Source organism: Homo sapiens, chromosome 19, assembly GCF_000001405.40.
Source record: "Homo sapiens chromosome 19, GRCh38.p14 Primary Assembly".
NCBI classification, from domain to species: domain Eukaryota; kingdom Metazoa; phylum Chordata; class Mammalia; order Primates; family Hominidae; genus Homo; species Homo sapiens.
The window spans coordinates 12,822,764-12,840,903 of NC_000019.10; the positions used below are offsets into that span (position 1 = coordinate 12,822,764).

At 54.2% G+C, this 18,140-nt stretch overlaps 2 protein-coding genes and 1 long non-coding RNA gene across 10 annotated transcripts in view, besides 15 other annotated features; 2 read left to right on the forward strand and 1 right to left on the reverse strand.

The window, feature by feature from the left end:
• Window positions 2,368–3,168: a transcriptional cis regulatory region, noted in NCBI's record as "genic|chr19:12935945-12936745 region (GRCh37/hg19 assembly coordinates) targeted for CRISPR interference". NCBI's record gives its function as "positively regulates PRDX2 gene expression in K562 cells {active_cell/tissue: K562}" and the evidence as "EXISTENCE:mutant phenotype evidence [ECO:0000015][PMID:31784727]".
• Window positions 2,368–3,513: a biological region, named in NCBI's record as "CRISPRi-FlowFISH-validated PRDX2 regulatory element 5". NCBI's record gives its function as "regulatory_interactions: PRDX2".
• RTBDN (retbindin) lies at window positions 2,719–12,665 on the reverse strand. 8 transcript variants are annotated; one of them, NM_031429.3, is made up of 7 exons: window positions 12,320–12,665; window positions 12,022–12,083; window positions 7,048–7,234; window positions 6,106–6,190; window positions 5,894–6,004; window positions 4,012–4,108; window positions 2,719–3,170 (listed from the first exon to the last, which is right to left on the reverse strand). In NM_031429.3, exons 1-7 carry the CDS (start codon window positions 12,333–12,335, stop codon window positions 2,943–2,945), a joined length of 786 nt encoding a protein of 261 aa, NP_113617.1. In that variant the 5' UTR covers window positions 12,336–12,665; the 3' UTR covers window positions 2,719–2,942. The 8 variants fall into 8 exon arrangements, with proteins under 8 accessions (NP_113617.1, NP_001257369.1, NP_001257371.1 ...); NM_001270440.2 differs by having other exon boundaries at window positions 2,719–3,903; NM_001270442.2 differs by lacking the exons at window positions 12,022–12,083; window positions 12,320–12,665 and adding an exon at window positions 11,726–11,816 and having other exon boundaries at window positions 7,048–7,222.
• Window positions 2,737–3,513: an enhancer, noted in NCBI's record as "H3K27ac-H3K4me1 hESC enhancer chr19:12936314-12937090 (GRCh37/hg19 assembly coordinates)". NCBI's record gives its function as "activates a minimal SCP1, AML or CMV promoter by ChIP-STARR-seq in naive H9 embryonic stem cells {active_cell/tissue: H9 hESC(naive)}" and the evidence as "EXISTENCE:reporter gene assay evidence [ECO:0000049][PMID:30033119]".
• On the forward strand, window positions 2,970–10,328 carry RTBDN-AS1 (RTBDN antisense RNA 1). Its single transcript, NR_187779.1, has 3 exons — window positions 2,970–3,149; window positions 4,022–4,129; window positions 9,792–10,328. It is a non-coding gene; the product is annotated as an RTBDN antisense RNA 1 (long non-coding RNA).
• Window positions 5,762–5,921: a silencer, noted in NCBI's record as "silent region_10176". NCBI's record gives its function as "represses an Ori minimal core promoter by ATAC-STARR-seq in GM12878 lymphoblastoid cells {active_cell/tissue: GM12878}" and the evidence as "EXISTENCE:reporter gene assay evidence [ECO:0000049][PMID:35858748]".
• Window positions 7,286–7,787: an enhancer, noted in NCBI's record as "H3K4me1 hESC enhancer chr19:12940863-12941364 (GRCh37/hg19 assembly coordinates)". NCBI's record gives its function as "activates a minimal SCP1, AML or CMV promoter by ChIP-STARR-seq in naive H9 embryonic stem cells {active_cell/tissue: H9 hESC(naive)}" and the evidence as "EXISTENCE:reporter gene assay evidence [ECO:0000049][PMID:30033119]".
• Window positions 9,588–10,148: a transcriptional cis regulatory region, noted in NCBI's record as "genic|chr19:12943165-12943725 region (GRCh37/hg19 assembly coordinates) targeted for CRISPR interference". NCBI's record gives its function as "negatively regulates PRDX2 gene expression in K562 cells {active_cell/tissue: K562}" and the evidence as "EXISTENCE:mutant phenotype evidence [ECO:0000015][PMID:31784727]".
• Window positions 9,588–10,578: a biological region, named in NCBI's record as "CRISPRi-FlowFISH-validated PRDX2 regulatory element 6". NCBI's record gives its function as "regulatory_interactions: PRDX2".
• Window positions 9,643–10,118: a silencer, noted in NCBI's record as "fragment chr19:12943220-12943695 (GRCh37/hg19 assembly coordinates)". NCBI's record gives its function as "represses an EF-1alpha promoter that drives an FKBP-Casp9 reporter gene in an ReSE screen in HepG2 liver carcinoma cells {active_cell/tissue: HepG2}" and the evidence as "EXISTENCE:reporter gene assay evidence [ECO:0000049][PMID:32094911]".
• Window positions 9,801–9,950: an enhancer, noted in NCBI's record as "active region_14086". NCBI's record gives its function as "activates an Ori minimal core promoter by ATAC-STARR-seq in GM12878 lymphoblastoid cells {active_cell/tissue: GM12878}" and the evidence as "EXISTENCE:reporter gene assay evidence [ECO:0000049][PMID:35858748]".
• Window positions 9,996–10,578: an enhancer, noted in NCBI's record as "H3K4me1 hESC enhancer chr19:12943573-12944155 (GRCh37/hg19 assembly coordinates)". NCBI's record gives its function as "activates a minimal SCP1, AML or CMV promoter by ChIP-STARR-seq in primed H9 embryonic stem cells {active_cell/tissue: H9 hESC(primed)}" and the evidence as "EXISTENCE:reporter gene assay evidence [ECO:0000049][PMID:30033119]".
• Window positions 11,774–12,303: an enhancer, noted in NCBI's record as "H3K4me1 hESC enhancer chr19:12945351-12945880 (GRCh37/hg19 assembly coordinates)". NCBI's record gives its function as "activates a minimal SCP1, AML or CMV promoter by ChIP-STARR-seq in naive and primed H9 embryonic stem cells {active_cell/tissue: H9 hESC(naive and primed)}" and the evidence as "EXISTENCE:reporter gene assay evidence [ECO:0000049][PMID:30033119]".
• Window positions 15,365–15,548: a silencer, noted in NCBI's record as "fragment chr19:12948942-12949125 (GRCh37/hg19 assembly coordinates)". NCBI's record gives its function as "represses an EF-1alpha promoter that drives an FKBP-Casp9 reporter gene in an ReSE screen in phorbol 12-myristate 13-acetate-treated (for megakaryocytic differentiation) K562 erythroleukemia cells {active_cell/tissue: K562(+PMA)}" and the evidence as "EXISTENCE:reporter gene assay evidence [ECO:0000049][PMID:32094911]".
• Window positions 15,553–15,732: a silencer, noted in NCBI's record as "silent region_10177". NCBI's record gives its function as "represses an Ori minimal core promoter by ATAC-STARR-seq in GM12878 lymphoblastoid cells {active_cell/tissue: GM12878}" and the evidence as "EXISTENCE:reporter gene assay evidence [ECO:0000049][PMID:35858748]".
• Window positions 15,752–18,140, forward strand: part of MAST1 (microtubule associated serine/threonine kinase 1) — a 36,438-nt gene continuing 34,049 nt past the window's right edge. The window contains exons 1-2 of the mRNA NM_014975.3: window positions 15,752–15,892; window positions 17,683–17,771. Of these exons, the coding sequence (NP_055790.1) occupies window positions 15,810–15,892; window positions 17,683–17,771 (172 nt within the window). The 5' untranslated portion in view covers window positions 15,752–15,809. The remainder of the gene's footprint in view (window positions 15,893–17,682; window positions 17,772–18,140) is intronic.
• Window positions 15,783–15,832: a silencer, noted in NCBI's record as "silent region_10178". NCBI's record gives its function as "represses an Ori minimal core promoter by ATAC-STARR-seq in GM12878 lymphoblastoid cells {active_cell/tissue: GM12878}" and the evidence as "EXISTENCE:reporter gene assay evidence [ECO:0000049][PMID:35858748]".
• Window positions 17,739–17,798: an enhancer, noted in NCBI's record as "active region_14087". NCBI's record gives its function as "activates an Ori minimal core promoter by ATAC-STARR-seq in GM12878 lymphoblastoid cells {active_cell/tissue: GM12878}" and the evidence as "EXISTENCE:reporter gene assay evidence [ECO:0000049][PMID:35858748]".

Genomic DNA, 18,140 nt, shown 5'->3' on the forward strand with positions numbered 1-18,140 from the left:
GCTGGTCTTGAACCCCTGACCTCAGGTGATCTGCCCGCCTCGGCCTCCCAACGTGCTGGGCTTACAGGCATGAGCCACTGCACTCAGCCGATAATGACTTTTTTTTCTGAGATGGAGTCTTGCTTTGTCGCCCAGGCTGGAGTGCAGTAGTGTGATCTCAGCTGACTAAAACCTCTGCCTCCCAGGTTCATGCCATTCTCCTGCCTCAGCCTCCCAAGTAGCTGGGACTACGGGTGCCTGCCACAATGCCCGACTAATTTTTTGTATTTTTAGTAGAGACGGGGTTTCACCATGTCAGCCAGGATGGTCTCGATATCCTGGCCTTGCGATCCGCCCGCCTTGGACTCCCAAAGTGCTGGGCTTACAGGCATGAGCCACCACGCCCAGCCTAGTGACCTTTTTTTCATCACTATATTGGAATTGTTTGGTATGCAGTGTTAGATAAGCAGAAAAACTTGCACTAACTCACTGAATTCTCCTTTCTCAATCCTGTGAAAGGAATGCATTTCCGTTTTATTTTATTTATTTTATTGTAATTTTTCTTTTTGAGACAAGGTCTCACCCTGTTACCCAGGCTGGAGTGCAGTGGTACTGTCTCAGGTCACCACAACCTCCACCTCCTGGGTTCGAGTGATTATCCTACCGCAGCCTCCCAAGAAACTGGGATTATAGGCATGTGCCACCACAGCTGGCTAATTTTTTTTTTTTTTTTTTTGAGACAGATCCTTGCTCTGTCACCCAGGCTGGAATGCAATGGCACGTTCTCTGCTCACTGCAACCTCCACCTCCCAGGTTCAAGCGATTCTTCTGCCTCAGCCTCCTGAGTAGCTGGGATTACAGGTGCGCCCCACCATGCCTGGCTAATTTTTGTATTTTTTAGTAGAGATGGGGTTTCTCCATGTTGGTCATGCTGGTCTTGAACTCTTGATCTCGTGATCTGCCCGCCTTGGCCTCCCAAAGTGCTGGGATTACAGGCATGAGCCATCGCACCCGGCTGCCTGGCTAATTTTTGTACTTTTGGTAGAGACGGAGTTTCGCCATGTTGGCCAGGCTGGTCTCGAACTCCTGGCCTCAAGTGAATGAACCACCTGCCTCGGCCTCCCAAAGTGCTGGGATTACAGGCATGAGACACCGTGCCTGGCCCACATTCCCATTTTAAAGATGAAGAAACTGAGGCTCAATCTGGGCAACGTGTGAAACCGAAGTTACAGCATAAGTAAGTGGTAGAGCTGGGTTGTGAACACAGGTGGACGCTACACGGGGTCATTCCCACCAAATTCTGTAGTCTGTACATGTATAATATGGGGTCTTGGGCAGGAATGGTGACTTGTGTCTGTAATCCCAGCACTTTGGGAGGCCGAGGCAGGTGGATCACCTGAGGTTTCGCCAACATGGTGAAACCCCATCTCTACTAAAAATACAAAAATTATCCAGATGTGGTGGTGTGTGCCTGCAATCCCAGCTACTCTGGAGGCTGAGGCACGAGAAGCACTTGAACCCAGGAGGCTGAGGTTGCAGTAAGCCAAGATTGCACCACTACAATTCAGCCTGGGAGACAAAGCTAGACTCTGTCTCAAAAAAACAAACAAACAAACAAAAAAAACGCCAGGCGTGGTGGCTCACACATGTAATCTTAGTACTTTGGGAGGCCAAGGTGGGTGGATCCCCTGAAGTGAAGAGTTTGAGACCAGCCTGGCCAACATGGTGAAACCCTATCTCTACTAAAAATACAAAAAATTAGCTGGGCTTGGTGGCAGGTGCCTGTAATCCCAGCTACTAGGGAGGCTGAGGCAGGAGAATCACTGGAACCCGGGAGGAGGAGGTTGCAGTGAGCTGAGATCCTGCTATTGCACTCCAACCTGGGCAACAAGAACGAAACTCAGTCTCAAAATAAATAAATAAATAAAAAGCTGGGATCTGGCTTTTGCCCAGGCTGGAGTGTAGTGGCAGGATTATAGCTTACTGTAGCCTCAATGTTCTGGGATCGAGTGATCTTCTTACCTCAGCCTCTCAAGTAGTTGGGAGTACAGCACATACTACCAGGGCCAGCTTGGTATTCTGTGTCTGCATGTCTTATTATTATTATTTTTTTTGAGAGAGAGGCTCTCACTGTGTCACCCAGACTAGAGTACAGTGGTGTGATCGTGGCTCACTGCAGCCCTGAACTGAGCTCAAGCGATCCTCCTGCCTCAGCCTGCTGAGCAGGTAGGAATACAGGCACGGGTCACTACACTGGGCCAATTAAAAATATTCTTTTTCTTTTTCTTTTTTCTTCCTTTCTCTCTCTCTCTTTTTTTTTTTGTGGAGACAGGTTCTCACCGTATTGCGAAGCCTGGTCTTGAACTCCTGGGCTCAAGCAATCCAACCACCTCAGCCTCTCAAATTGCTGGGATTACAGGCATGAGCCTCTGCACCTGGCCTTGAAGTGTGTCTTGAGGCCTATACAAGTTAGGCAGCTTCTTGGCAGCCCTGGTGGCACACAGTGGGAAGGAACCCCTCCTGCCCTTGTCAGCCCCTGTTCTGACCCCCTCTCCATTTCCAACAACTGGGTATTCCCAGTTATGTTGACTGCTCTAGGGCACAGGCTATCTATCATTTACACTCTAGTATGAGTCAGTCACTACTTCTAGGGTCTGAGGATTAGACGTGAGACATCCGTTACTTTCTGGCAATTCTCCTTCCGACTTATTTCCCCAAGAAGCAGCCACACTCGTCACGTGCTCTAGCTGGCGACTTTATTCAAAGGGGAGAGGGAAAAGTGAGAGAGTTGGGTCATTTCTGGGATAACCTGGAGAGGGGTGGGTCTCTGGAGCTCCAGGGAGGAGGGACAGACATCTCAAAACTATTACAGAAGGCCGAGAGGACGAGGGGTGGGGTTCTGGGTGTCCTGAGGGGCGGGGCTGGGGGAAGGGTCGCTCCCCCAACTCAGGGCCACGCGTCCGCTAGGGGCCGCTGCCGCTTCCACTGCCACTCCCGCTGCCCGCAGCGTCCAGGATGGAGGTGCGAGGGCTGCGGGAACGCCGGGAGGGAGCTTCCCGGCCCCGTCGTCCTGGTCTGGGACGAGGTACCGCGGAGATGGAGATGTTGAAGCAGTGACGGGCTCCAGGAGCAGCCACCGGTAGGGCGTGGCCCAGAGCCGAGCGACAAAGGTCCGTCCCGTCTGCGAAGGTCTAGGAAAAAGTGGAGTTAAGGCCCTAGTGGGCGGAGTCCAGAGACGTGGGGGGCGTGGCCTCGGGAAGGGAAAAATGTGTAAATTCCTTAGGGATTGGGGTCAGAGCCGGAGCGTGCGGCCTGGGAGTCTATGTGCGGAACGTGAGTGGGGGCAGGTCCTTGGGGAGGGTGAATGTTCTTACTGGGCCCTAGCGGGATGAATCAGGGTTGGGGCAGTTGGGGGGCGCGCAGAGAGGTCTGTATCAAGGCTGGGGTTTTGTAGAGAGTGACTGGGCTTCTGGGTCCTCCAGGGTAAAATGTGGATGGACCCAGAGCAGGAATGGTTTCTTGGGAAGGGCAAATCTGGACTTCGAGAGCTTTTGGGGTCAAAGGGCACAACCCAGTAGGAGGTTGGGCTAGGGAAGGGTGGGAGCAGGGACCTGGGGAGTACCAATCCGGTCTCTGGGGTCTAGACACGGTAAGAAAGAACTTGGTGGGGGCCGGGGGCGGTGGCTCACACCTGTAATCCCAACACTTTGGGAGGCCGAGGTGGGCGGATCACCTGAGGTCAGGAGTTCGAAACCAGCCTGGCCAACATGGTGAAACGCTGACTCTACTAAAAATACAAAAATTAGCTGGGCATGGTGGCATGCGCCTGAAATCCCAGCTATTCGGGAGGTTGCGGCAGGAGAATCACTTGAACCCCGGAGGCGGAGGTTGCATCGAGCTGAGATCGCGCCACTGCACTCCAGCCTGGGTGACAAGAATGAAACTCCGTCTCAGAAATAAATAAATAAATAAATAAATAACTTGGTGGGGAGGATCTCAGTCTCTTCCCTTCACCTTCTGCCCCACGCTCACCTGTCCATAGGTAAGGCAGCTGGGCTCACAGCCCCTTTTTTCTGAGAGTGGGAGCCAAGTCGGGCCGCAGGTGATATCATCTTCGCAGTTGGCGAACCTGGAGATGGCGAGTGGAGAGGTGGGTAAAGCCTTTGTAGTTACATTCCAGCGCGATTCTGGCTCTTCTAGACTGTGTTCACTATATGCCCCCACCTCGGATCCAGGCCCCGCCTTTTAGAACCACTCCCCTGCTAACTAACCCCATCTCTCCAGATTTCACCCTGCCCCATATTCTATCAGATCTTTCCATACTCTGGGCCACGTCACAACTGGCCTTGTCCCTACAGACCTCAGACCATTAGTTACAGGCCAGTCCCTCATATTTTCCCACTCTTTCGTTTTCCTTTTATTTATTTTTGAGTCAGGGTCTTGCTCTGTGACTCAAGCTGGAGTGCAGTGGCGTAAGCATGGCTTATGGCAGCTTTGACCTCCCAAGCTGGAGCAATCCTTCCACCTCAGTGTCTCAAGTACCTGGGACTATAGGTGCGCACCATCATGTCCGATTAATTTTTTTTTTTTTTTTTTTTGAGATGGAGTCCTGCTCTGTTACCCAGGCTGGAGTGCAGTGGCCCAATCTCTGCTTCCTGCAACCTCTGCCTCCCAGGTTCAAACAATTCTCCTGCCTCAGCCTCCCGAGTAGCTGGGATTACAGGCGCCCACCACCACGCCTGGCTCATTTTTGTGTTTTTAGTAGAGACGGTGTTTCACCACGTTGGCCAAGCTTGTCTCAAACTCCTGACCTCAGGGGATCTGCCCACCTTGGCCTCCCAAAGTGCTGGGATTACAAGCATGAGCCACTACGTCCGGCCCATGTCTAATTAATTTTTAAATTTTTTGTTGAGACTGGGTCTTGCCATGTTCCCCAGGCTGATCTTGAACTCCTGGCCTCAACCAATCCTCCTGCCTTGACCTCTCAAACGACTGAGATTACAGGCACCCACCCTTTTACCTTATCTTTTCAATCAAGAGGACTCACTCCTTAAGAAATCTCAGGGCCTGGCTGGGCATGGTGGCTCACCCCTGTAATCCCAGCACTTCGAGAGGCCAAGGCAGGCGGACCACCTAGGTCAGGAGTTTGAGACCAGCTTGGCCAACACGGTGAAACACCGTCTCTACTAAAAATACAAAATTTAGCCGGGCGTGGTGGCGGAAGCATGTAATCTCAGCTACTAGGGATGCTGAGGCGGGAGAATCACTTGAACCCAGGAGGCTGAGGTTGCAGTGAGCTGAGATCGTGTCACTGCACTCCAGCCTGGGCGACAAGAGCAAAACTCCATCTCAAAAAAAAAAAAAAGAAAAAAAGGCCGGGCACGGTGGCTCACGCCTGTAATCCCAGCACTTTGGGAGGCCGAGGCGGGCGGATCACGAGGTCAGGAGTCTGAGACCAGCCTGACCAACATAGTGAAACCTCGTCTCTACTAAAAATACAAAAATTAGCCGGGCATGGTGGTGTGCGCCTGTAACCACAGCTACTCAGGAGGGTGAGGCAGGAGAATCGCTTGAACCCGGGAAGTGGAGGTTGCAGTGAGCCGAGATTGCACCACTGCACTCCAGCCTAGGTGACACAGTGAGACTCCATCTCAAAAAAAAAAAGAAAGAAAGAAAAGAAAAGAAATCGCAGGGCTATGAAAAGCCACATTGCCATATGGCAGGTATCTTAAAAGCTGGGGGCTTCTCATGCCTCGCCCCTATCTACCTGGGCTCTAAACATTAAGCTGCATCTCTTAAACCTTGGCCCTGTTGGAGGCCACTCCCCTTTACACAGAAGGCCAAGCAAACTGCAGGCTCCGCCCTCTTCCCCGCCCAAGTCACAACCCACGCCCCTTGCCCCCGCGTCTCCTACCAGGCCTGGCAGAGCTCCTCGCAGAGCGGCTGTGCCTGGCGTACCCCCAATAGCCGCAGGCGGAAGCGACTGCGAAGGGCACGTTGGAGGTGTTCCAGGAAGGATTCGCATCTGGACGTTGGGAGAGATAGGGTCGGATGGGTCAGGACCCGAGGGAGTTCCTGGGCAATGGGCAAAGTACGCGAGAAAACGGTGGAGGGTGCTGTACTCACTCAGGGCTCGGCACTCCACAGCGTTCTGGATGGTTTCCAGGGCCCGATGTCTCTGTTGTGTCCATCTCTGAGGGACAACAAGGTCCTGGCAAAGGGGAACCCTGTGAGCTAGGGTCTTGGATATTCAGGTAAGGTTTGGGAACTGAGGCCTGGGGATCCCCTGGACAGGGGAGACAACAATTACATCAATCCTCACAAACCCATAACTTAAGACCCTTCCTTTGGAATGCAAATGCAGCTTCAAGTAGTAATAATCATTTCTTGTTTATAATAATCAACTTACTTGTCATGTGCCTGGTAGTGACACATATACTTAATCCTTTTCCTTTTTTTTTTTTCTTTTTTTCTTTTGAGACAGGGCCTCACTCTGTCACCCAGGCTGGAGTGCAGTGGCGTGATCTTGGCTCACTGCAACCTCCACCTCCCAGGTTCAAACAATTCTCGTGCCTAAGCCTCCCAAGTAGCTGGGATTTCAGGCGCATGCCACCTCGTCCAGCTAATTTTTGTATTATTAGTAGAGACAGGGGTTTCACCATGCTGGCCAGGCTGGTCTCAAACTCCTGACCTCAAATGATCTGCCCACTGCAGCCTCCCAAAGTGCTGGGATTATAGGCGTGAGCCACCGAGCCCTGCTCATATGCTTATATGCTTAATCTTAACAACAGCTCTGCGAGGTATATTTGTTATTTCTCTCTTTTTGGGGGTCCATGTGAGACCCAGAGAGGTTAAATGACTTCCTCAGGATCACACAGCTACAAAGTGGCAGAGTTGGGATTTGAACCCAGGCAGTCTAATTCTTATCCACCATTCTTCAGCACTATCCGTGCCTCCCACCTTGGTGGCCATGCTAGGCCCCTCTCATAAGGAAATTCTAACATTGTCATGGCAGGGTAGGTGTGGGTTTCTGGGTGTTGGTGGTGAGGCAGGGTCTGGGGTGCTCACCTGCCAGGTGCAGCTTGCCTTTGCCCAGATCAGCTGCCAGCCCATGGTGTTGCTGGGACCTGGCTTGGAGTGGGCGGCTCCCTCCACAGGCTTCTAGCAGGATCCATGCCAAGGTCAGTTGCAGCACCCACGTCAGGCCGATGGGTCGCATGTGGACCCTGCAGTCCATGTCCACCTGAGATAAGAGCTGGCAGGCATAGGGTGGGGTTCAGCCATCCCTTTCTGTGAGCTTAGGGTGGCACCCACCCAGTGCATACCCAAGAAGCAGTGCCAGGCAGAGTAGGGAAAGTGCAGCTGAGGAGGAGGCTGGGGCAGTGGCCAAGGACGTTCAAATCCCAGGAGACCATCAGGGCCTGCCTCCAACCTAGGAGCCCCCCTCCCATCAGAACCATGTCCTCTATGTCCCTTCAGTGCCACCCCAACCAAGCTTAGACCACAGTGGCCCTCCTCCCATCCAGCAGGATCTCCCACCTTTTTAGTCTTCAAGAGACCCCTTCTTTTCTCAGAATGAAGGGGACCTCCCTAGGTCTTCCAATCCCCCTCTCCTGTTCAGTAATTCCTCCCTCTCTTCTATGCGGCCTCCCTCCTCCCTCTCTCGCTCCCTGCCGGCCCTTCTCTGGGTCACCTTCTCTCGGCCCACAATCGGCTTAGGGGCCACCCAGAGCTGGACCTTTGGGACCAAGGCTGGTGTGGCAGGGCTCAGGTTCTGTCACTGGGGCCCAAAGCCCCGAGGCAGGGACAGCTAGCGGTCTGTGGAGACAAGACTGTCCCCTTCCCGCCTCCCCGCATTCAGCCCCTCACCTGTTGGCTGGATTGGGGTCTAGAGGCCGCTAAGACACCTCAGGATCCAGTCCAGGAAACTGGCTGCTGAAAGGGGCGTGGCTTAATGCAGGGGCGGGACCTCCCACCGTCCTGCCCACACTCCAGCTGACCAAAGGCTGGCCGACTTGGGGCTGGTGTGTATATATCCTTGTGTTTGTTTTTATGTTCAGCTTGTGGCTTAAGCTCTGTATCTATATATGTGGGGAGTGTGTGTGTGTGTGTGTGTGTGTATGTGTGTGAGGAAGGTGTGTTTGTGTGGCCTATAGCCTGTGTGTGTTCCCAGGCACCTGTGTCTTTTGTTTGTGTGGCTGTGTGTGTGTTGAGCATGTATGTGTGTTTTTGTTGTATGAGGTTATGTTTATGTGTGTTTCTTGGTGGAGTGGTTGTGTGTGTGTGTGTGTGTGTGTGTGTGTGTGTGTGTGTGTATACGTTCAGAATCTGGGGGAGGATTGTGTGTCCCAAGCAATGTGTTTGCAGTTGAATAAAACAGGATCTTAATAAATGTGAGAAGGGGAAATGTAGCATTGGGTTAGTGTCCCTGCAAAAATGTTGGAAGTCAGTGGATAAAGGTTTTTGACCATGAAGGTTGACCATGAATGAACAAAGAAATGTCATGTGCTGAGCAGGATGTGTTTGTGTGCACACATTATGTGTCCTTCTGAAGTTTCTGTGAATGTGTGTTGCTTGTGAACACTCCTTTAACTCATCCATTCATTCAACAAACATTTATTGAGCACCTACTGTGTGCTAGATTCTGGGGATGCAGTAGTGAACAAGACATGAAAATTTCAGCCAGGCATGGTGGTTCACACCTGTAATCCCAGCACATTGGGAAGCTGAAGTAGAAGGATCGTTTGAGCCCAGGAGTTTGAAACCAGGCTGGCCAACGTGGTGAAACCCCATCTCTACTAAAAATAATCAAAAATAGCTGGGCATGGTGGCACATGCTTGTAATCTCAGCAGTTCAGGAGGCTGAGGCATGAAAATAGTTTGAACCTGGGAAGCAGAGGTTGCAGTGAATCAAGATTGTTCCACTGCACTCCAGCCTGTGCAACAGAGTGAAACTCTGTCTCAAAAACAAACAAACAAACAAAAACTCAAAATAAAAGACACAAAAATCTCAGGTTTCATAGAGCTGACATTCTAGGGGGAGAATCAGATGAGAAAAACATCCCTGCAGAGGGTATGGGTGTGTATGTCTATGTGTTGTGTTGGGAGAATAATTTGTCTGTTTTAGATGATAATTTGTGTGCAACTGGACATCCCTTGGTTTTGGAACTATGTGACTGTGCTTCCATTGGTTAAGTGTTTATATGTGTTGTTTGTGTGTGTTTGCATTGGATGACTGTGTGTATGTCTGTGTTTCCTAAGTATGTGTTTGTATGGCTGCAGATGTGAGTTTGTGTGTATCTGTATTTTTGGATGTTTGCGTGTGTCTGCATTTGCTGAGTATGTGTTTGTATGTGTGTTAATTTGCAGAATGTGTGGGTCTGTGTTTGTGGAGTATATGTTTGCAGAGTATGTTCGAATAAATGTTTGTGTGTCTGTGTTTACTGAATATGTGACTGTGAGTGTTCGTGTGCCTCTCATCTCAGGGCAAGAGAGGCTTTTGTCTCTCTTTTATTGCTGTATTCCCTCCCAGATCCCAAAACACTACGTTGCACACAGTAGGTACTCAATATGTGGTAAGTGAACAAATCAGTAGATACCGTCTCTGGGTCCCTCTGTGTACACCCAGTGATGTGCTGGAGGCCTCAGTAAGCAAGACCTGCCGGACCTAGCTTTCCCCTGGTCCATCTTGAGGTGGTCCAGGATGCTTGTGGGTCAGATTTGTTCAGCCTCTGGGCTATGCCTCACGCCAGAGCCTCCGCACCCTTTCTCCTTCCCTAATCTCAGCCCCCGACCCTGCGCTTGGATTTCAGCACCGCGGACAGGAGCGCGCGAGACCAGCACCAAGGAGAGCTCCCGCGGTCGCCATCGTGAGATAGGTCGCCAGGGGCGGAGTCCGGGCCATGGACGGAGAGATGTGCCAGCAAGGGACTCAGCGAGACGGCGACACAAATGTGCCGACAAACATATACAGAGACAGACAGAGATAACCCAGGCAAAGGCGCGGACTTGAGGCGACAAGCTCCTGGTGAATACCCGGACCCAGCCTCGCCGTCGCCCCCGTCGTCCAGCAGGGGTCGCTGTTACCCAGCGACCGCGCCCTCCGGGACCTTGGGGCCAGATACTGGCCACCACCCCTTGGGAAGCCCTTCTGTCCCCCAGTGCCAAGACTGGGAGTTCGGAGGGCTCGGACACTCTCCTCTCCAACTTTGGGAAGCATGGTGGGTTTGGCCTCACCTGTGTGAACATGGAGGAGCGGCGAGGGAGCTGAAAAGCGCTTTAACTGCCCCCCTCTCCAACTACCAGCTAATCGCTCCTATAAATACAGACGGCCTGGCCTGGCTCCTTAATCCTGACCGTGAGGGAGGGGTCGCTAGAGGGGCTGCAGGGTTCCCTGAGGAGGCTCTGATTGTGGGGCAGGTGGGTGGGGGGGCATAATATGTATGCACATGTTTTTCTGAGGTTGCGTCTCCTGTGAAGACGGGTCTCCTCAGTGAAAATGTTTCTCTGTAAGCATGAGATCTCTCCTGGGGCTGTAGAGGTCTCGTGGGTGGGGACAGTTTCCCACAGAGGATATGGCTTTTAGGGGTCTCTGATTGGGGGTATCCTTTACACGGGAATTGTTACTCCTGGGATCTTTCTCTTCGGGGAATGCCTCTTTCGTGGGGAGGGGGATGGCTTTTGAGAGGAAAGTCACCTCTCAGGGACCATATCTATTAGGAATGATTTTCAGGGTTGGGGGAGTTCTTGATTGGACAGGGCGTCCCTGTGGAAACTATCTCCCCCTGGGAATGTGTCTCACCAAGGGGGTCTCTGGGGGATGAATGTAGAGGGAATGTATCTCAGGGAGAAGGCTTCCTTTGGGGTGTTTCTTGACTGAGGGTTCTACCCCTGAGAATATCTCTCCTCTGGGGTGTCTCTTTTTATAGTGGTCTCTCGGCAGCTTGGCTCCCATGGGGGCACCAGGAGGCTCCGCCCCCCCGCCCGCCCCTTCCCCCCGCCAGCGCGGGCAGCGGTGGCTGAGCCCGGGCTCGGGCGCCCAGACGCAGTGACGGCGCCGGGCCCGCCCCACTTCGCTCCGCCCCCGCCCCCGCCACCCCTCCCCTCAGCCGCCGCCGCCGCCGCCGCCGCGGTCCCCGCGGCTTCTCACTCCCTCCCTCCTCCCTCCTCCCGCCGCCGCTACCTCCCTCCTCCCTCCCCGGGCCGAAGTCGCCGCCGCTGCCGCCATGGACGATTCGGGCCTCATCCGCCGCCGGAGGCTGCAGGTACGCGGCTGCCTGGGCCCCGGGTGGAGAGGAAGGGGTCGGCGCCCTGGGGCGGGGCTGGGCAGGAGGCGGGAGAACTTGCACTAGGGTCAGCCGGGACGCCCCCACCCATAGGTTCGGGACGCTAACCGCGGGGAACGCTGTGGCCGCGCGTCCCGCCGCGCTGGGGACCCCGCCCCTCAGGCGCCGCCCGGCGATCCAGGGAGCTGCCGGAGGGGTGCAGCCTAGCGCTCCCCCTCGAGGATCGCCTGAGGGGCGCCTGGCCCGCCCTAGGGGGATGGGGCTGGGGCCGAAGTCATCGCCCTGGCGCCTCGCCAGGCTAGGGGTGAGGGGGCGCAGAGCAAAGTTATTGCCCTAGGGCTCATGCCCCTCGGGGCCATCGGCGCCGCTGGAGGCGTAAACATGTTTGTGCGGCAACCTCGCCCCTCACCACCCCAGGAGCCCCCTCCCGAGGCATAGGACGCCCTGCGTCCCCCACGCACCTGCCTGGCCATCAGGATTCTTCCTACTGCCCTAATTGGACAGGCACCTAGACAGCTTTCTCACTCTTCATTCCACCTCCTCCACTACAACATCCGCCCCCCCACCGCGATCCTCAAGTCCAGCCCAGCTTGTGGGTGGGCGGGAGCGATTTTTAGCTCCTTGCAGCCTTAGAAGATGCTGGTCTCGAGGCTGCGCAGGCGCAGGAGCCGTGCGTCCACTGCACGGAGTGGGACACTGAGGATCGCTGTGGAGTGTGGGGAAGGCGGGGACAAACTCAGGTGTCAGGAGCTCCTACCTCCAAGGTGGGGAGGGATTCTGTAGCCGAGAAGCGTCCTCTGCTCGTCTTCAGCTGCGTTTCTGAGGGGTTAGTACGGAAGTTCAGGGTTAATACGGAGGTCCGGTCCCAAACATCCCAGAGGGGAAGGTGATGATATCTGTGCCCCAAGGCCCTGCCTGGGGTCTGGCCCTTCTGAGCCTCCTTGGGGCTCAGCCCCAGGCTTGGTAATCTGGAGTTTAGATAAAGCCGAGAATGGGCCCAGACTCAGGCTCCATCCCCAGCCTGAATCTTGGGAAAAGAGGATTCAAACCCTCACCTAGGGCTTCGTCCATTTCTAGACTCCCCTAATCCATCATTCCCGAGGTTGAAGGCCAAGGGGAGCTGATTGGTCAGTGCAGCAGGAAAAATGGTGATCAGACTGCAGGAAGGACCTTCCAGGCGTCTGGGTAACGCCGGAGCCAGACATGAGTTGGAAAACTAATTTGCTTTCAGAGCCCAGATGGCCCGATCTCCGGAGCCTAGGCCTCTCTGAAGTGCTCCCACATTCTCTCCGCCTCTCGGGGGTGGGTTAGGAGAGTGGGTTCCGAGAGAAGGGAGGCAGCTGCGGCAAAGTTAGAGCAAGTACTGCAGCAGCCAGGTTGGGTCCGCGCCGTCGGGTTTCTGAGAAAAGGGAGGAAAGAGGCGGGGCCTGCACGGTGTGTCCCCGCCCTCCAGGCCGGCGTCAACTCTCATTGGCTCAGCGCCACGCGGGACTTTAAACTCCCGCTCGAGACACCGCCCCCAACGCGGAATGCTTCCACTCACCCACCCACCCACTCAACCCCAGGCTTGCTCTGGGTCCGGCGATCCCTGTCGGAGTCCTGTCCCCACCGCTTCCCTTCTGGCGGGATTAACCACTTCGCTGCCTGGATACACCCACATACGTTGGTGCATCCTCTTAGGAACTGTCGCATCACTGCTGAGCGCCCGAGGGTCCCCTGTGTGCAGCTAGGCTCTTTTTTTTTTTTTTTTTTTTGAAACGGAGTCTCGCTCTGTTGCCCAGGCTGGAGTGCAGTGACGCAATCTCGGCTCACTGCAACCTCCGCCTCCCGGGTTTAAGAGATTCTTCTGCCTCAGCCTCGCTAGTAGCTGGGATTACAGGCTCATGCCAACATGCCCGGCTAGTTTTGTATTTTTAGTAGAGAGTGGGTTTCACCATGTTGGCCAGCCTGGTCTTGAACTTCTGACCTCAGGTGATCCACCCGCCTCGGCCTCCCAAAGCGCTGGAATTACAGGCGTGAGCCACCACGCCCTGGGATCTTATATGTAGACAGCATCCTGAGTTCGAATGCCCTGTCTGCAGTGTCAACTATTAATCCTGTGCGGGAGAAGCGGAATCCACTTGGCCGAGCGGCTCTGCAGCTGAGATTGGAGGTGGCGTCTGTTTACACTGACGCCAAAGACCCGAACTTCCGCCGCTCCAGTTTGACCCTTTCTTCGTCCCTAGAATGTTTGGGGGCGCTAGCGGGTGGGGCTGGGTTCCAGGTCTTCTTCGGGTGGTGCTTAAAAGCCCTCCAGGGGCTTACCCTCCAAGGCCGGTTACCCGGATCTGGACACCCTGGGCTCTGTGGCCAGAAAATCCAGGTCTTGATTTCGCTTGGGCCATTGCAGACACGCAGCCAGGTCGACTGGTCCTCATTCACTCCGGTCATGCAAAGACAGAGGGAAAACCTGGTTTGGATTATCGGTCACCCGTGGCTCGGGAGGGCAGGGCTGCCCTTTGGCCCCGCCTATATGTTTGTCCGTTGTACAACGGGGTGGGAGGACGCTGTGGCCCATCCTCTGTCATGCAGCATGTCCCTCCTTAATAACGCCTGTTCTCCAGACTTAGTATTTATTGAGCACTTGCTATGTGCTAGGCACCATGCTAAGGGGCTAGGCATCTGCATCAACTCCTAAGATCCTCAAGGAGACACGGGACTATTGGAAGGTCATTTGCCAAGGTCATAAAAAGCAGAATTGAGATTTGAACCTAGGCTTTTTGCTTTTAGAGATCCTAGAAATGTCTAGGACATCCCTCATTTTCCTTTTGTTGGAGTCCCCTCCAAAGGCCTTTTGAAACTCTCCCCCAAATCTTTCCACCTGCAGCCCCACTCAGTTTCCTTCCTTCCACCTCACCCTGTGGATAGAAAACTGGCTGGCAGGTGTTGCCCCTTGTACCCCATTCCTTTCCTCAGAAAAAAGCCAAGACCCCATATCTCCTGATCCCTACAGTGACTTCCTAAGAGCTTGACAAATGGAAGGTGACCTTCTTCAAATGCAGACACATAAAGTTAATACTCACTAATTATTATTATTGTCATTATAAAAAATGACTATGCGGCCATCACCTGAATTTCCATTTTTATTTTTTTATTTTTTAAACTTTTTATTATTTATTTATTTATTGTTAATTGAGAGGGTGTCTTACTCCAGCAGTGGTGCAATCATAGTTCACTATAACCTCGACCTCCTGAGCTCAAGAGATTCTCCCACCTCAGCCTCCGTGGTTCCCATTTTAAATCTCAGTTGTGAGTCACTCTACTTACCTACCCCCCACCCCCTACCCCAACTCTATGACTCTAGCTGGGAGTCAGATAGATCTGCTGAGGTGTAGATGAGTCATTCATTCTTTCAACCTTTCATTCATTCAACCTTTCATTCATTCATTGAGTACGCTAAGCTTATTCCCGCCTCCAGGCCTTTGCCCTTGCAGTTCCCTCCACCTGGAATGCTCTCTCCACAGATCCTCCCATGGCTGGCTCTTATCTTTCAGCAACCAGCTTAAAAGTCACCTCCACAGAGCAGCCCTGTCTGACAATGTGTCTCCATCCTAGCCATTGTCCATCACATCACCCTGTTTAATTTATTCATAAGACTAATTATTGTCTAAAATGATTTCGTTCACTTCTACACTAATCTTGTTTAATGTCCCCTTTACCCTATAAATACTAGTCCCAAAAGGCCAGAAACTTTTTTTTTTTTCTCCTTGAGACAGAGAGTCTTGCTGTGTTGCCCACGCTGGTGTTTCCTTGGACTCAAGCGATTCTCCTGCCTCAACCTCCCAAGTAGCTGGGACTAGAGGTGCACACCACCACACCGGACTTGTAATTTATTCACTACTGTGTCCCTAGTGCCTAGGATTGGGTCAGCATACAGTAGGTGCTCAAGACATATTTTTCAAATAATGATTCCTATTTCATTTGCACAAACACACGCTGATATGCCAACTCACTTGCCTTTATATGGCGCCCCGCCTGTGTACGTGGGCCTCTGTTGGTCTCTGAGGGTCAGGAGAGGAATCACCCAGGGATCCTCTCCCCCAAGAAACTTGGCCCGCAGTGCATGGCCAAGGGTGAAAGTGACAGTGCTGAAGAGGGGCCTGTCTTACCCTGCTTCTGCTCCTCCAGGGAGTTGATAATGCTTGTGGGCAGCAACGGCAGGTCCACGCTGACCTTCATCGTTTTGCCCCTTTGCCTTCCAGAAGGATTTGCCCCTGCCCCGGAAAAGCAGCAGGTGAGCCTGGGGAGAGACGTGGCGGGGGCTGGCCGCCCCTTCTCCCGCCGGGGTGGGGGCGCCAGGCGAGTGCGCGGGCGGGGCCTGGCTCGCCGGCACGCAGCAGCGCCCCCTCCCGGCCGGCTGCAGCCGCAGGGCCCTCCCCTTCCCTGCCCTCCCCTGCCCGCTGCGGCGGCTGCAGCCTCCGCCCCGCGCGCTTGCTCCCCGCGCCGCCGCCGCCGCCGCCTCCGCCGCTGCTGCCGCACCTGCCACCATGTCGCCGCCGCCGGGTCATGTCTGACTCTCTCTGGACCGCGCTTTCTAATTTCTCGATGCCCTCCTTCCCCGGCGGCAGTATGTTCCGCCGCACCAAGAGGTAGACCCCCGATCCCCTAGACATTGTCCCGGCCCTCCCCGCAAAAGCCGCCGCTCCGGGTACTGCTGCAGGGCGGGGCCCGGGATGCTGCGCCCGGTCCAGCTGCGCCAGAGGTGCCCCAGCTGCGCCTTCCCGCCGGGGTTGGGGTTGAATGGGGGGTGGTGTGGGCCGAGTCTGGGGGGCTTGCACGCTGGAGAGGACGGCCGCGGGGGGAGGGGGCTGCGCCACTGGGGGTTTGTGGCGCCTTTGTCTGCTGGCGCTGCGGGCTCCAACAGCCTGGTGGGGGTAGAGGAAGAAGGGGAGGCTGGGGGGCTTGGCACCCTCAGAACAATAGCCGCAGCCTGGCCTCCCCCCACCCCCATGCCGCGTGCTCCTGGACGCGCTAATATGCTCAGTCACTGCGGCTGTGGGTGAGGGGACGGACGGAGGGGCTTGGGGCTCCCTCTTCGGGAGCTGGATGCTGAGGGGTAGAAAAAAGGGGGGGTTTATCATAACACAACCCCCCCCCCCGAACACAGCCTTACACTGAAAATAGTGACACACAGCGTCACACAGGACATGATGTCACACACATACACACAACAGCCCTAGTGGCCCAGATACACTGGGAGGTGCCACACATACCTAGCCTTGCAGCTGCCACAGGTCAGAACCATGCACAGACACACAGGGGCACCACGTCGTGTACACCTAGTAAGATGTCACTTACATGGCGATCCACACACACACAGTTATGTCATCCAAGATGCAAACATGTGTTTCAATATCCCATCCATGCATCCAAGAATGTCACAACACACGATGTCATATCTAGGTATCTCACATACTATGTCACACTGACATCAGGATAAACAGATGTAGGGATCTTGCAGAGACAGAACCACGCAAAATCACATGTTATCACATTGCAAGACTCACCTAGAGAATGTCAAATGTGGTGACATGTTTGGACACAGTGTCACAAGATGTTAAATTCACACAATAGATGCTACATACACATGGACAAGCATGGTGAATGTCACACCCAGACGGAAGGACAGTATCGGACACAGACTCAGAATGCCACACAAAGACATAGATACATGTAGGGGGGATCATGCATCCTGGCCAGGCATGGTGGCAGGCACCTGTAGTCCCAGCTACTCAGGAGGGTGAGGTGAGGCGGGAGGATTGCTTGAGCCCAGGAGTTTGAGGCTGCAGTGAGCCACTGCACACTGCACTCCAGCCGGGCGACAGAGCGAGACATTGATTTAAAAGAAAAAAAATAATAATAATACAACCTGCCTGTGTTACAGCACACATTGTTATGGACAAGTGGCATTTCACACTGTGTCACATAGACACACAAATGCTCAAATTGTATCACACAAGATAAACCCACGTTGTGTCACACGTATCACACTAGAATGCATTCAGCGTCACACATTGTTGAATTCATACAGTGGATACCACACGTGGATACCTACAGTGAATGTCACGCATAGACTGAGACACGCTCAGTATCACCAATGGTGTCACCTAGACACAGTGACTATCACACCATGACAGACACTGCCCTACACATAATCCATACTGAGAGTTTCTCACACACATGTCATATGCACATCCCCTGCCGTACACAGTCCTGCCGAGGCCTGCACCACCTTTCTTCGAGAAACCCTCCCAGGGAGCCTCCAAACACACATGGATGGGAGATAGGCGGGGATCTGAGACAGGAGGTCAGCTGGTGGGGCTCAAGAACTCACTGGGCTGCGGCCCGGCCCGGCCCCCCTGCCTTACCTTCCCCGCAGCTGCCGCACCAGTAATCGGAAAAGCCTCATCCTGACCAGCACTTCACCCACGCTACCGAGACCCCACTCCCCGCTGCCAGGTCACCTAGGTGAGGCCAGTGGTAGAGACTTGGTGGGTGCAGACTGGCCTACAGTAGGCGGGGCCTCAGGCGAGGAAGCGTGGTCATGCTACAGAAGGGGCGCAGTTTGAATGGAGGCGAACCAGTTTGGATAAGGGGCGGGGCCATGCTTGTGTGGGTGTGGTCAGTCGCAGAGGGACGGTCATTGGGGGGCGGAGACTCAGGTGGGCGGAGACTCAGGTGGGACGGACAGAAAGGAGGAGTCGTACCTGAGGGGCGGGGCCATCCCAGATGAAGCCAGAATCGTCTTGGAAGGGGCCAGGCTGACTCGGCAACGAAAAAATTTAGAGAGGCGGGGCCACAGGCGAAGGGGCGTGGTCTCCCCATAATAGGCGGGAC